Raw genomic sequence first — 14280 nt, 5'->3', positions numbered from 1 at the left:
GGATCACCTGAGGTTAGGAGTTGGAGACCAGCCTGGCCAACATGGTGAAACCCTGTCTCTACTAACAATACAAAAATTAGCTGGGTGTGGGATGTGGTGGCGGGCACCCGTAGTCCCAGCTACTCGGGAGGCTGAGGCGGGAGAATGGCGCGAACCTGGGAGGCGGAGCTTGCAGTGAACCGAGATCACGCCACTGCACTGCAGCCTGGGCAACAGAGCGAGACTCCGTCCCAAAAAAAAAAAACAAAATTAACTGAGTGTGGTGGCATGTTCCGGTTGTTCCAGCTACTCAGGAGGCTGAGGCAGAAGAATCACTTGAACCTGGGAGGCGGAAGTTGCAGTGAGCCAAGACTGCACCACTGCACTCCAGCCTGGGTGACAGAGACTCCGTCTCAAAAACAAAAACAAAAAACAAAAAACAAGAAACAACAGTGTCACACTATTTTCTATTTTCATAGTATTTACATTGTACTAGGTATTGTACGTAATCTAGAGATGATTTAAAGGGAGGATGTGTGCAGGTTCTATGCAAATACTACACTATTTACTGTATGAGACTTAAGCAATCTGGAACTTTGGTATCTGCAGGGGGTCTTGGAACCAATCTCCTTCAAACACTAACATTTCTTGACATACGTCAGACTTGTCTCTCAGTGTTTACACCTATTAATTCATTTAATCCCAGTATTAACCTCACAAGATGGGTAGCACTATTATTTCCATTTTACAGGAGAGAAAACCAAGGCCTACAGATGTAACTTGCCCAGGACTACACCACTAGTAAGTAAAGAACCTAGAATATAAATCCTGTCTGGCTCCAAAACTCAGGGCCTAACCTCACCTTGGAGGGCTGGGTAGCTCTGACAGATCCACAGCTTAAGACACCTTTGGCTGGGAGAGCTGGCCCTCTGCCACCTTTTTAGGAAGCAAGAGTCTAATCAGTGGTTATCAACCACAGCCCAGCCTCACTCCACAGCGATGAAACTGGAATTTCATATAGCTAAGACTGCAGGCTTTTTTTGTTTTTTGTTGAGTCAGAATCACTCTGCTGCCCAGGCTGGAGTGCTGGAGTGCTGGAGTGCAGTAAGGTAATCATGGTTCACTGCAGCCTTGACCTCCCCAGGCTCAAATCCTCCCACCTCAGCCTCCCCAGTAGCAGGGACTACAGGTACATGCCACCACACCTGGCTAATTTGTGTATTTTTTTGTAGAGAAAGGGTTTTGCCATGTTGCCCAGGCTGGTCTCAAACTCCTGGGCTTAAGCAATCCTCTTGCCTTGGCCTCCTAAAGTGCTGGGATTACAGGCCTGAGCCAAGCTGCACTCGGCCAGACTGTGGGTTTTTACACCCTGAGAGAGCAAGGAAAAAGAAAGGAGTTCTCCCCAGCCCCGTCCTGCCTTCTCCATATCTGAGGGCGTGCAAATCCTTAGAAAGGTCCAAATATTGGCCATAGCATTTAAAATCACCTCTGAAGACATCACGGTGGCATCTCCAGCCTTCCTCACTGGAGGTAACCCTTAATCTCACTGGTCTCCATGCAGACTCCACTTGCCCACCCAGCCCCGTCTCGTGCTTAGGGGTGTGTGTGTGTGTACCTGCATGCATGTGGGCAAACCTCAGAACAAGAGAGAGAAGAGGTTTGTGTGTGTTGCGGGAGGCGGTGGGGGGTGCTTGAGGGAACACTCTGTGGGAGATACCAAGATCCTGTTTGTGGTTTTTGCATTCGAGGCTGGAACACCTCGGCAACCACTTCCATCTGAATTAACTCCCTTCAATAACTCCCCCTGCCAACCAGAGACTTTTACTACGGACTCACCACGAGATCCTAGTTGAGACTGAGCTCATTCCTGCTTGTAGCCTGGAGCCCAACCTCAGGAAAGCATCTAAGAGCTTCTCCCCACCACCAGCCTCCTCCTTAGATCCTGCAGTCCCCAACTCCACCCATCAGGGATGCAAAGAAGGACACGGGGATGTAGGCAGAGTTTGCCTGGAGCCCCAGCCTGCACTGAGACACTCCTCAAATCAAGAATGGGGTAGCCTCCCTCTGGGGCAAACCTCACATTTATCTCACTTGGATCTGCCTTCTTCACACACAAGCTGACCAAACCCAGGAAAGGTTATTTCAAAGTTTGGAGAACAAGGGAAACACCCTGCATGTTAACAGGAAATAGCAGACATCCCCCCATCCTTCCCCTCCAGGATCTTTAGTCCCTGCCCCCATCCCTGGAGGAAACCCAAGACCTCCAGATCCCTGAGAGGCTGAGCTGTCTAGTTACAACTCTGAGAAGCAGAGTCGGAGCTGGCTGGGAAATCCCCAGGAATGAGAGAAGAGACACTCCTGGGCCTGGTGTGTGGAGGGGCCTTGGGCTGGGATCCTGGTCCTCTTGCTAGCCCCTCTTCTCTACCCCAGGGTCAAGATTCCAGCCTGGGAGTCCTGCAGCAGGACGCCGGCTTTTTCCTACCCCTCACAGAGGTTTACAATGCCTGGGATCTGCTGTTGGGTCTCCAATCACAGAACATCACTTTGCTCTCCTTCCCCGTGGAGGGAGCTGGCATGTCTGAAGAAGGTGGGGAGCTCTCCATGCCCTGCCTTCCCCAGCACATGTACCCAGGGTGACAGCTACCTTTCAGGACTCGATGGAGAGAGGGCAACCAAGGTAAACAGAGCCAAGGAGCTGGTACACAGATAGGGACAGCTTTAACAAAGGAAAGATTATGCTTTAACAAAGGAAAGAAAATTAGTGAACAAGAAGAAAAAGATGAGAAAGCTGTTCAGAGTGCTGGAACAGGACAGAGGGTGAGAAAAGGAGAAAGACTTGCCAAAAAGAACAGCCATGAGACAGGATACAGGGTCTGCGGAAGGTAAAGGAAAGGGCTTTAAAGTTGGAGTTGGGCACTAATTTAGATCCTGGCTCTGTCACTTACCAGCTGAGAGCTATCAGGACGATGAGATGAAACACTGAGTAAAGGGCATAAAGCAGGTGCTTAGAAACAAATACGAACAAATTAAGAGACGCTTCACACCCTTAGAATGACTATAATAATTTTTTTTTTTTTGAGACGGGTTCTCACTCCATGGCCTAGACTGGAGTGCAATGGCATGATCGTGGATCACTGTAGTCTCGACGTCCCAGGCTTAAGCAATCCTCCCACCTCAGCTTCCTAAGTAGCTGGGGCCACAGGCATGAGTCACCAAGCCCAGCCCCTAGTAATTTTTAGAAAGGAAATAAGTGGGCTGCACACAGCGGCTCACACCTGTGGTCCCAGCACTTTTGGAGGCCAAAATGGGAAAATTGCTTGAGTCCAGGAGTTTAAGACCAGCCTGGGCAACACAGCAAGACCTGTCTCTACAAAAAATAAAAAAACAGCCAGGTGTGGTGGTGCATGCCTGTAGTCCCAGCTACTCAGGAAGCTGAGGCAGGAGGATGGCTTGAGCCCAGGAGTTCGAGGCTGCAGTGAGCTATGATCACACACACCACTGCACTCCAGCCTGGGCAACAGAGTGAGACCCTGCTTCAAAAAAAAAAAAAAAAAAAAAAGGAAATAAGTGTTGGTGAGCATGTGCAGGAATTGGAAGCTTTGTGCAACATACCTAAAACATAAAACAGCACAGCTGATGTGGAAAACAGTTTGGGAGTTCCTCAAAAAGTTAACATAGAATTACTTTATGACCCAGCAATTCCACTCCTAGATATTTTCAATTCCCAAACGAATTGAAAATGAGTATTCAACACTCATTTGTACACAAATGCTCATAGCAGCAATATTCACAATAGCCAAAAGGTGGACATAACTCAGATGTCCATTAACTGATGAATGGGTCAACAAAATGTGACATTTCTTGCAATGAAATACTATTCGGCCATGAAAGAAACAAAGTGCCGGTAATGCTCCAACATGGGTGAACCTCAATAATGTTAGGCTAAGTGAAACAAACCAGACAAGAAAGGCCACATAATGAATGATTCCATTATATGAAATATCCAGAACAGTTAAATCCACAGAGACAGAAAGCTGATTAGTGGCTGCCAGGGGGCTGGGGTGGGGGTGGGGGAAGGAATGGGGAGTAACAGCTTAATGGGTACAGGGTTTCCTTGGGGTTGCTGAAAATGTTTAGGAACTAGATGGAGGTGATGTTTCAACAATTGGGTGTGGAAGGCCAGGGTCCTCCACTGGCCTGGGCCACAGCTCCCACCATTGTCCATTACAGAGTGGGTATGCAGGAGGGTCTCTGGGTCCTTCAGCTCACTGTGTCAGGTTTAGTAGGGTAGCAGCTCTTCCTAACACACTCCTAATACCCCTGTCGTGCAGCTGGTTGACTAAAAAGACCAGATCACTCAACTCCCAGTCAGTAGCAGGCAGAAATGCCCAAGGTTCCCCAGCCCAAAGCAGGGCACAGGTGGGCTACACAGGAACCACTGCTCCTCTCTCCAGACCATCACAGAGTCCTGTTTGGCCCATGCCACCCAGCTCCCTATCCATGCCCAGCCACCAGCACCACACCTGGAGTTGTGGCCCCCACACCATGACCTCCTCACCCCACCCCAACCTGCCTGAGATAGGCTGGCCACTCCACAGGTACCTGACTCCAGATTAATCCTTGTGAATGGGCTGGGCAAGCTCTAAGAGGAGAACCGTGGAGGGAGAGTCATACTTCTTCCATGATCCCCCTCCACACCAGAATGCCCCCTGCTCAGGGACCCTACCAGCCAGGGCCTTACATCTTGCTCTACACAAAGGCTGAGGGCTGAGAAGTGCTGACAAATGTCTGGATAAGCCAGAGCTGGGACGTTCTCTCAAGTGTCCAAGACCCAACTTTCCCTATTCCTCTTCCTGCTCCAGTGAGATCTACCCTCAGCCCACGCACACCTGGGGGCTCCCCTCCACATGGCCTTGGTGGCACCCCGGACTCACCTCCCTGGCCCCTTTCACAACACTAAATGAAGCTGGATTAGGCTCTCTGCCAGATTATAAGGAGCTGCCGGATCAGGGCTTCCCAGCCCTGGCTCCCGTGGAACTTCCTGGGGTTTCCACCTCCTCCCAGGGCCTGAACTCAGTGTCCTCGTGTCAACCCGGCCCTGGACATGGGACACCGGTGCTTCCTCTCACACACTAGCCCAGCAGCCTGGATCCCCGATATCCGGGAGGCACACAGTAGACACTGTTGGAACAGAAAGTATCCAGGCTTAAGTGAAGCTGTGTGGAGGGAGGGGAAGGGCACTAGCTATGTAAATTGGGAAATGTGAATCGTGGTTCTCTTTCTTCATAATGTAAATGCATTAAGCAGTTTTCAAGATAGACCACAGAAACAGCTGCCATTTGCAAGGAACATGTGCTCCACACCTGTGCTCCCAGCTGCACGAGAAAGCTGTACCTCTGACCCTCCTCCCTCTGAGGCAGGCAGCCCCTTCCCAGACTCGCAAAGAACCCGTTAGGGTCCCCACAGCAGGCTGACAGGGAGAAAGGGGCCTTCTCATGTTAGCCATCTGCTCAGGAGTTGGAAAGACAATATAAGGTCACTCTTAGATGGAAAAAAAAAAAAGACAAAGAAAAAGCTTTGGGGGTTCCTATGCTTCCCTTTAGGAAAGCAGGGCAGCCCAGTCATCCTGACAATGGAGTCAGGTGTCAACCCTGGCTTGTCTATGGGTCTAGACAAGCAGGCCCAGGCCTGTGCAGAACACCGCTCCTGGGAGCAAGGTCTGGGCTCCCAGTGGGTCAGAGCCCAGCAGGCGAGTGCGGCCCCGGGGCTGGCAGGCCTGGGTGACTCAGCAGAGATGCTTCAATCTGCTGACTGCTGCCCCGTGACTCTGATTTCAGTGGCCCTCTCGGGATAAAGAACGCTCAGATTCCCTTTTTCTACCCATTCTCAGATGGAAGGGGAGGTCAACCAGACTAGGATGGAGAGGAAAGCCTACAGCCAGCTAAAATCCTTCAACCCAAAGAGGTCATGTGACCTTACGGTAAAGTTGGGAGAGAAGGAACTTGAAATTTCTTGTACCAACCCAACATTCCAGCAAGAGCAGGGTGGAAAAATTATTCCAACCCTTGGTCCTGAAGTCAGAGGCTTTCCCCATTCCATTTTTTCAACTCAGCAGGAATAGCCCGGTGGGGCTGGTGGCTCTCTGCCTTCCTGGTGAGGATATGTGGGTAACAGGAAGCTGCTCACTCCAGCTCTGGATGTGTCATCACAGCTGACCCGGGTGCTCCCAGGTGGGCAAAGGGGTGGGGGTGGAGAAAGAGCCTACCTATCGGTTTAATTGGTGCCTGGGAGCCTAAGCGGCTTTTCTCAAGAGGGCAGGCACCACGTGCTCAGACACTGAATGGGACACATGTGGGGCAGTATGGACCTGAGTCAGTTCACCATGGGCACAAGGGGGTGACAAAACCCCTGTAGCAAGGCCCCAGCTGCCACATGGGGGATTCGAAGGGCAGAGCATGCCCTCAGTAGCTTTAAAAGGCATCTCGCTCTACTACAAGGGGATTTCAGGTGCAAACTACCGAGAGACAAGGAAAGTCACTCACTCATCCTTTCAAGCAGCAACTACTCATCTCCAGGCAGTGCAGAGCCAGCTGCCTATTATCAGCTGACACCAGGTAGAGGCTTCCACCTGCCACCTCCTGTGGCCAGCAAGTTCTTCCTCCTGCCCTGACCCTAAGGGCTACTCTCTTGTCCTGGTGGAGACATCCCTCTCATCTAACCCTTGGCTTCTAGCCCCTTCCATTAGGGCCACCCCTCAGTTCTGATGAAAACTACATCCTCCCCTCAGTGTCTGCCCTGTGGAGAACAAAGCCCTTTTGTCCAGTAAATGTCCTGCACCCTCCTCGTCTCCTCACACCCACAGATCCCAGTTGGGGCCCCGAGCTCCCCTCTCATATTCAGGTCTTCTCCATTGTCCATCCTCTGAATTCCCTAAAAACTCTCAGTACCCAAACATTTTACTCCTTATGGCCTCTCCCACTGTCTCCCTGGGGTCAGCACTCACTGGACCTTCACAGTCCCCATTCCTGTCACTGTTTCTTCACAGACACAAGCGACCACAACCAGGAACACCCCTCCACTTAATAAGGTGCCTGGGCCCCAGCTGAAGTGCCACATAGCCACAGCTTCTGGAGGCATCTCTGCCAGGGTTCACCTGCCTTCCTGCACAGGGCGCCCACATCCAACCCCAGGGGCTCTCCCAGCATTTGGCAGCCTAAGGCTCCTCCCTTCTCCCACCCACAAACAGTTCTCTATACCTGGAGGAGAGCTCCCTGAGAGACTGGAGTGTAAGCACAGCCCACCTGACTAACTGCAGAACAGGCCTTTTCCCATCCCCCAACTCCACCCCGCCCGGTGAAATTCTCTCCTTCCACCCACCAGACGCCTCACCTGTGTGGGCACTGTTTCCCGAAGCCGTGCCGGCGATGAGGTACCCGGGGCTCTGAGGCCCCAGCTGTCTGCGGACTGTGTCAGGCCCCCGGGGTCACAGACCCTGGGCAGCACTGGGCTGCGAGCAGGTGTGCCTGAGTTCCCAGACTCTGCAGCCGCCATCTCCAGACTGAGGCACAGCCTGGGGATTAGGGGCGGATTGCTCTAGGAGATTTCCCCCTCCCCTGGGGCTCACGGGCTGCTCCTTCCCATCTGGCAGGAGACAGGGAGGATCACCGAGCGCGGGAGGACCGAGCTCTGATGAGATGCCCCTCCACAAGTCCAGCTGTTCCACTGTGAGTTGTGTGCATAAGGACACCCAGGTGTGACAGGCATCAATGAGGAGGGGTGGGGGTGGGGGGCAAAGGGGGTTGAAAGGGATGTGCACGAGGACACATGACATGTGCACCTGCATCCTTCAACCACCCAGAAGACAGGCACTCCACCTCACCCCTCCCATCTCACAGAAATGCCTCCCATGATCAGAAGCTCCTCTCACAAACAGAGCAGTCTCATGGATTCGGAATGGAAGTGAGCCTCCCAGCCAGCCTTCCAGGATAGCGAAGAGCTCTCCAAAGCCAAAAAAGACTAGAGCCTGGAGGGGGGCTCCCTGGCAGATCCTAACACAGCCAGCTCCAGCCAGAGTCCTCTCCTCCTCTCCCTGCTGCCCTGCCCGTTGGCTTAAGGCACCATCACTTCCAAGGCAGTTTCTCTACTCCAATAACCACCTGGAGGAAGCTGACAGCAGCCAGCCTCACCAGGGGAATTCTTCTGCCCTGAGATCCTGTCCCAGAAATCCAGTCTCTGCCCTGGACACCAATGGCCACTTCTGCACTAGCTTCTGCTTCCCAGTCTCTGCCAGCATTGCCCTGGCAAAAACACCCAAGATAAAGCACAGATGGGAAACTCACAGCAGTCTCTTCCTCCTTGGACTTCATCTTGACAGTGCCAGCAGGAAATTCTGTGAGTGGCCAGCAGAGGGGGACAGAGGTCCACAGCTGAGGACAATGAGCAGTGAGCAGTGTCACCGGCTGGCCAGCTGAGTCCTGGGGCCTGCTGGATCTCTCTAATGGCAGCTTCTCACAGCAGAACTGTCGTTCAGAAAGACATGGATTCTGCACCCACTTGAGTCTGGTGAGGAACTCCAGGCTTAAATACTGATGGCCGACACGCGTCACGTTGATTGGGTAGTCCCAAATTCAAGAAGGTGTGAAGAGATAAGGGCCCAGTGCTATCTCTGGGAGCCAGTGCCAGGGCTTGCAGGCCAAAATCACTGAGATCAGGAGTCCTCATACCCTGGGCTCATGGAAACTATACAAACATTTGTGGTTGGCTGATGACTTGGGGTTTGTGAAGAAGCCTGGCAAAGCATATTACATAGGTCCCAATTTCTGGGGCCAGCTCTGACCTGTAGGGCCAGGGAACACTTCTGGCAGCTCCCCTACTTCTGCAAATGATCCCCCTCCTATGGTACTGGATCTTGACTTTATATTTTCGCACCAAGCACTGTTCTTGCATAAGGGTTATTTGTAAATAGGTCTTATGCCCCTATTAAATGATAAGGCAGGGATCAGATCTTATGTTCATCTGGACCATTCACTGTGCCTAGCATAAGACTGATCCTCCCTCAATACTGACATCGTAAAACAATGAAATGATCTACCTCATTTAGCTGCCATGAAAGGCAGTCCAGCCACTGCAGTTCTGTCTCAGGTAGAAACAAAGACAGCTTGGTCTTCTCATACTCAAGATACCCCTTCTTTTTTCACTTTTTGAGATGGAGTTTTGCCCTGTCACCAGGCTGGAATGCATTGACGCGATCTTGGCTCACTGCAACCTCCACCTCCTGGGTTCAACCGATTCTCCTGCTTCAGTCTCCCAAGTAGCTGGGACTACAGGCGTGCACCACCACGCCCAGCTAATTTTTGTATTTTTAGTACAGAGACGAGGTTTCACCACGTTGGCCAGGATGGTCTTGATCTCTTGACCTCGTGATCCACCCGCCTCAGCCTCCCAAAATGCTGGGATTACAGGCATGAGCCACTGCACCCGGCCAAGATACCCCTTCTCTGCCCGCTCCAGGCTAGGCCCCACCAAGCTAGGATTTTTTTTTTTTTTTTTTTTTGAGACAGGATCTTGCTCTGTCACCCAGACTGGAGTGCAGTGGCACGATCACACCTCACTACAGCCTTGACCTCCCAGGCTCAAGCAATCCTCCCACCTCAACCACCTAAGTAGCTAGGACTACTGGTGTGCACCACCATGTCTAGCTAGTTTTTGCAGAGATGGGGTTTCACCATGTTGCTCAGGCTGACCTTGAACTCCTGGGCACAAACGATCCACCTGCCTTGGCCTCCCAAAGTGCTGGGATTACAGGTGTGAGCCACCATGCCCAGCCCAAGCTAACATTTTAAACTTTTTCTTATTAAGCAGAGGAAAAGGAAGAGAAGGCAGTGGCAGCAGGAGACAGGTGGGGAGGGGCCGAGTGAGCTGAGAGCCCTGGGGTTCACTCTGCATGGTAGGTCTCTCTGTGCTTCCCGGGATCAGGAGGGCTCAGAAGCAACAGAAAGAGTTTCCTGCAAGGCCATGCTGCACCACCAGAATGAACTGGGGAGAGCTGCCCCCAACACAGGCACCTGGCAGCTCCCTAATGGAAGGTTATAGCTCCACTCCAAGAGCAGCTTACCCATCAGCACAATAACTGAACAGCAGGAAAACAGGGGTTCAGGAGGGAACCAATAGTTCACTAGGAGAAAAGTAGCAAACAAGAACCAGGGAGATGTCTGCCAGGCAAGCTAGCAGCAGAGCAATGCTTTTCTAAGCCTGCTCGTCTTTATACATGAGACGTGTTCCCAAATCTGCCAAGGATGCAGAGCTTCCTGTGGTGGGGGTGGGGAACAGATAGCCCAAAGCATGGTGGCATGGTGGGAAAGGCCCTGTAGAGCCCTGGGCGTGAGACTCACTTCCATGCTTTCTAAGTGACCTTGGTCAAGTCACTGTAGGCGCTGAGACTGTTTCCACAAATGTGATGGGAGGACGGCGTAAAGACAGGGGGTTAAGGTGAATGTGTCTGGCAGGAAGATGTGCCAGAGCTGGGCTCGCTGGGCACTGGATGAGCCTTTCAGTGGCCCACAGAGTGCTTGGGAGTCAGAAGACCTGGTCTAAAATCCACACCCTGCCACTTGCTAGCTGTGCGGCTTCCATGTTCTGTCCGTGCCGCTTCACAACTGTGAGGAGGCAGGAGCAACTACAAAGCAGCAGCTTGGACGAGGCGGCCTTGGAGAGTGAGACCAGTGGCATCAGGAGATGGAGGAGAGGGTGAATGAGCCAAGCCTTGGAGACTCTGTGCAGCTGAGTCTCACTTCTCCTAGCTGCAAATGGTACATAGGACCATTATCTCCCAGGGCCCTCGTGCAAACACATGGCACTTTCTAAGTTTTACTGAAATAGGTGACTGGTCCTGAAGCTCCCTCACCATGGATGTATGTGCACATGCATACACAAACCACAGTATTCCAGACAGTACCTGGAAGACTTGGTCTGAAACAGAAAAAGCCAAAGAAGTAGCTGCCATCAGGAGCAAAGAGAGTTGCAGGCACACCTGGGAAAAGCTGCCAAGGGCACTAAAGCAGTGGGCTCTGAAAGGACACCACTTGCAAAGCAGCTCTTCTTTTGCAAAGAAAAGGAGCTGTGGAGTAAGCCACATCACTTGCACTTCTTGGTCAGTCTTGGACATCCCTGGGGCGCCTCCTCTCTGGCCTGGCAGAGATGGAGGCCACATCTCAGTGACACAGAGTGGTCACTATCAATTCACAGGATGGGCAGCTGAGCTGTGGCAGGGGGTCTCTGGCTTCACTCTTTCCACCCTTCCAAGTTAAGCCTGAGGCGGGGGTGACAGATAGGCTCTTGTCATCTGAGAAGGGTGGACTGGAAGGAAGCCCAGGTCCTGGGCACAGGCTCTTCTCTCTGCACGTCTGGAAGGTCTCAGCCCTTTTACTGGGTTCCCCTTAGTTTAGTTTTTTCTTCCACATCCTTCTTTCTCTTCCCTTAATTTTTATGCCATGCCCCTTCTTTCTTTAGTATTCTTTAAATCTTATTTTTTTTATTTTCTCTTCCTTTGCCTTGTTGTTATTCTTCCGTTCTCTCCCCACTGCCCTTTTAAAATCATCTTATTTTTCTTGCTTTTTCTTGTAGAGACAGGGTCTCGTTCTTTCCCCTAAGGTGGAGTGCAGTGGTGTGATCATGGTTCACGGAAGCCTCAAACTCTGGGGGGCTCAAATGATCCTCTGCCTCAGCCTCCCAAGTAGCTGGGACTACAGGTGCATGTCACCACACTCAGCTAGTTTTATTATTATTATTTTTTTTTTTTAAGAGAGACAAGGTCTCACTATGTTGCCCAGGCTGGCCTCGAACTTCTGGCCTCCAGTGATCCTCCTGCCTTGGCCTCCCAAATCACTGAGATTACAGGCATGAGCCACTGCACCTGGCCTACTTTTCTTTCTCTTAAAAAAAAAAAAATCACAAACCACACATTTTGAAGGGTGGGAAACTGGAGAAGTCATAGGCTTTAGGAGCAAAGAACCACGCTAAAAAGTAGCTAAATTTAGTAGCTTAGAATACAAGGTGAGGCCTTAAAAAAATTTCAGGCCCCAAATGTGCTGTGAAAATCTGCCAGTGAGGACTCCTCTTTGAAAGGCTGGCGGCTTCTTTTATGCTCACCAAGCCTGCTTGGAAATGGAGGTTTGGAAAATGGTCATCTTTCAGAGGTTCCCTCCCCAAGTATTCACTTTCAGATCAAGCCAGAAGGTGCATCTTCTTAGAAACCCATGTGACCAAAGAGCTCTGCTAACCCCCAGGGAAATGCGAGAGGAAGGATAATATTCTTCAGCGTGAACAGCAGCAACCCAGGTGGGCATGCTTCCTAGGAATACGTGGAGGAATAGGCACAGCTGTGTGAGCTGGGAAAGCAGACAGATCAGGCCAGAGTGGAGGAAGCTGCAGGGCAGCACCCACATGCACACACCAGGGCACCTTTCAGCTGCTTCCAGGGAGGGAGTATGCCATCTCTCCTGCTGGTCCTCTGCCCATCTAATGCCACAGACACTCCTGTTTAGGTAGTCCTTCTTGGGCACAGACATGAGCCCAGATGTTGGGCAGTGAACAGAACCACTTACATAGGTCACTTTTAGGCAAATCAAAATCTGTACCAGGCAGGTAGGAAAGACGGATGATTTCATGCCTTTATAGTCACTCTCCCTGGAGGAGGTTTTACTGGGAACAGGCCCAAGAGAAAGTGACCCGGAGAGGAAGCCACATCTCCTTTTTGGGCAACTTTTAGGAAGCAGAGCACCCTCTACCCCACCCTATTTGCCAGGAATAATTTGGAATAATTCCTTTCTAAAAGCAGAGGATTGAAACACCGAATTCTGGTGTGCTCCTGCTGACTCAAGGGCTCAGAGCATACCATGAGCTGACGTGACTAAACGAGAAATGTGTGTGAACGCATTCTGCAAACTGTAGCATGCTGTTCAGCTGACTGTTGATGCCAGGAAGGCTTTCAAAAGGACATGAGTGGCACCTCTTGGGGGGCATGCCCATAAGCCATTGAGCCCCTGAGAAGTCAGTGGACAGGCACAGGGCCCAGATTATATTTGGATCTGAAGCTACCTTCTCAGGCAATGAAGAAACCTTATACAATGAAGTTAATGTTACAGAGCACTTGTCTTTCCAGGGCAGGATTCGCCTTTCCAGATGCCCAAAGGAGGCCTCCTGGTCACAGTATCACCTTGGGTCTAATTTAGCTCTTGCTGAGCCTGATGAATTATTCACTAGCTATGGACACTAGCTCAGCTCTAGGGTCCCAGTGGTGGGGTATCTGGAGAACTGTAAGGAAGAGGAAATGGAAAGGAAGAGTGAGAACTCCCAGAATCAGACCTGGAGGGGGATCAAAGAGGACAAAAGCAGCAGCGGGCAGGAGGCCTCTAGGTTGGCCTCTGGAAGATTTGGGAAATGGGCTAGGGGTCCAAGAGCCTGTCCCTGGACAGAGAAGGGAGGTAGGAAAAGGCTGTCCCCAGAAATGACACTCACTTCCCCCAACTCCCTACTGCAGCTCAGGGGAGCTTCTGATTCCCTAGGAGCCTAGAAGGAATGCAATAGGGTGTGTACATTCAGTCATTCAGTTTTACTTCTATTTCAGCGCCCTCTGCTCTGTGGGATATACAGAGAAAGCCCAAAATATGCCTATGAAAAGAAGAGGCAGAAGCAGGGATCAGGTTAATGATGCTGTATATCCATTGCCTCATCTGGCACCCCAGAGGGGACTGGGGTCACGTTTCTCATCTCAGGGATGTGGCAGATCCAGGGAAGAACGTGCTGGGTAGCCGGGGAGACCTGAGCCAACTCCCATGACCCAGCCCACATCATCAGTGCCGGCTCCTTGCCGTCTGGAACCCGATGACAGACAGCTCCTCTTGCTGACTGCTACCAGCTCTGGCATAGGGGTCTGACACCTGAAACCTGAGTGCACCTTCCCCTTGGGCAAGCTTGGAAAGCCCAGGCAGATACCTGGCTGGCCTCTCCCACCTGTGTCTGCAGACAGACAGCTTGTCTCCCACCAAGTTTTGCCTGAGCTTAGGGACAAAGGCGTCAACAAGGCATGACCTTACATCTTGGCTAGGTAACTTGGAAGTTATCTAATTTTGCCCCCTCTATCCTGGTGATTTCTGTACTCCCAGATGCCAGAGCTAATCTGGAGAATACTGGATATTTTCTTTTTTTTCTTTTTCTGAGACGGAGTTTCCCTTTTGTTGCCCAGTCTGGAGTGTAATGGCGCGATCTCAGCTCACTGCAATCTTCACCTCCTAGGTTCAAGCG

At 51.4% G+C, this 14280-nt stretch overlaps 1 protein-coding gene across 9 annotated transcripts in view, besides 3 other annotated features; it reads right to left on the bottom strand.

The window, feature by feature from the left end:
• The window catches only part of TMCC2 (transmembrane and coiled-coil domain family 2), a 45398-nt gene that overhangs the window by 8609 nt on the left and 22509 nt on the right, over positions 1 to 14280 (bottom strand). The window contains exon 1 of one of the 9 annotated variants that reach the window (NM_001297613.2): positions 8319 to 8533. The exons of 7 other annotated variants lie outside the window; for them this stretch is intronic. In NM_001297613.2, coding sequence (NP_001284542.1) covers positions 8319 to 8345 — 27 coding nt within the window. In that variant the 5' untranslated portion in view covers positions 8346 to 8533. Of the gene's footprint in view, positions 1 to 7368; positions 7539 to 8318; positions 8534 to 14280 lie in introns of those variants that run through there. One more of the 9 variants, NM_001331034.1, reaches the window with a different exon arrangement.
• Positions 773 to 1470: an enhancer, noted in NCBI's record as "H3K27ac hESC enhancer chr1:205232393-205233090 (GRCh37/hg19 assembly coordinates)". NCBI's record gives its function as "activates a minimal SCP1, AML or CMV promoter by ChIP-STARR-seq in naive H9 embryonic stem cells {active_cell/tissue: H9 hESC(naive)}" and the evidence as "EXISTENCE:reporter gene assay evidence [ECO:0000049][PMID:30033119]".
• Positions 6893 to 7402: an enhancer, noted in NCBI's record as "H3K4me1 hESC enhancer chr1:205226461-205226970 (GRCh37/hg19 assembly coordinates)". NCBI's record gives its function as "activates a minimal SCP1, AML or CMV promoter by ChIP-STARR-seq in primed H9 embryonic stem cells {active_cell/tissue: H9 hESC(primed)}" and the evidence as "EXISTENCE:reporter gene assay evidence [ECO:0000049][PMID:30033119]".
• Positions 12777 to 12974: a silencer, noted in NCBI's record as "fragment chr1:205220889-205221086 (GRCh37/hg19 assembly coordinates)". NCBI's record gives its function as "represses an EF-1alpha promoter that drives an FKBP-Casp9 reporter gene in an ReSE screen in K562 erythroleukemia cells {active_cell/tissue: K562}" and the evidence as "EXISTENCE:reporter gene assay evidence [ECO:0000049][PMID:32094911]".

The sequence above is a fragment of the Homo sapiens genome, chromosome 1 (genome assembly GCF_000001405.40).
Source record: "Homo sapiens chromosome 1, GRCh38.p14 Primary Assembly".
Lineage (NCBI taxonomy): Eukaryota > Metazoa > Chordata > Mammalia > Primates > Hominidae > Homo > Homo sapiens.
Note: the sequence above shows the minus strand (reverse complement) of the source record. Positions and strands in the feature narration are given on the sequence as shown.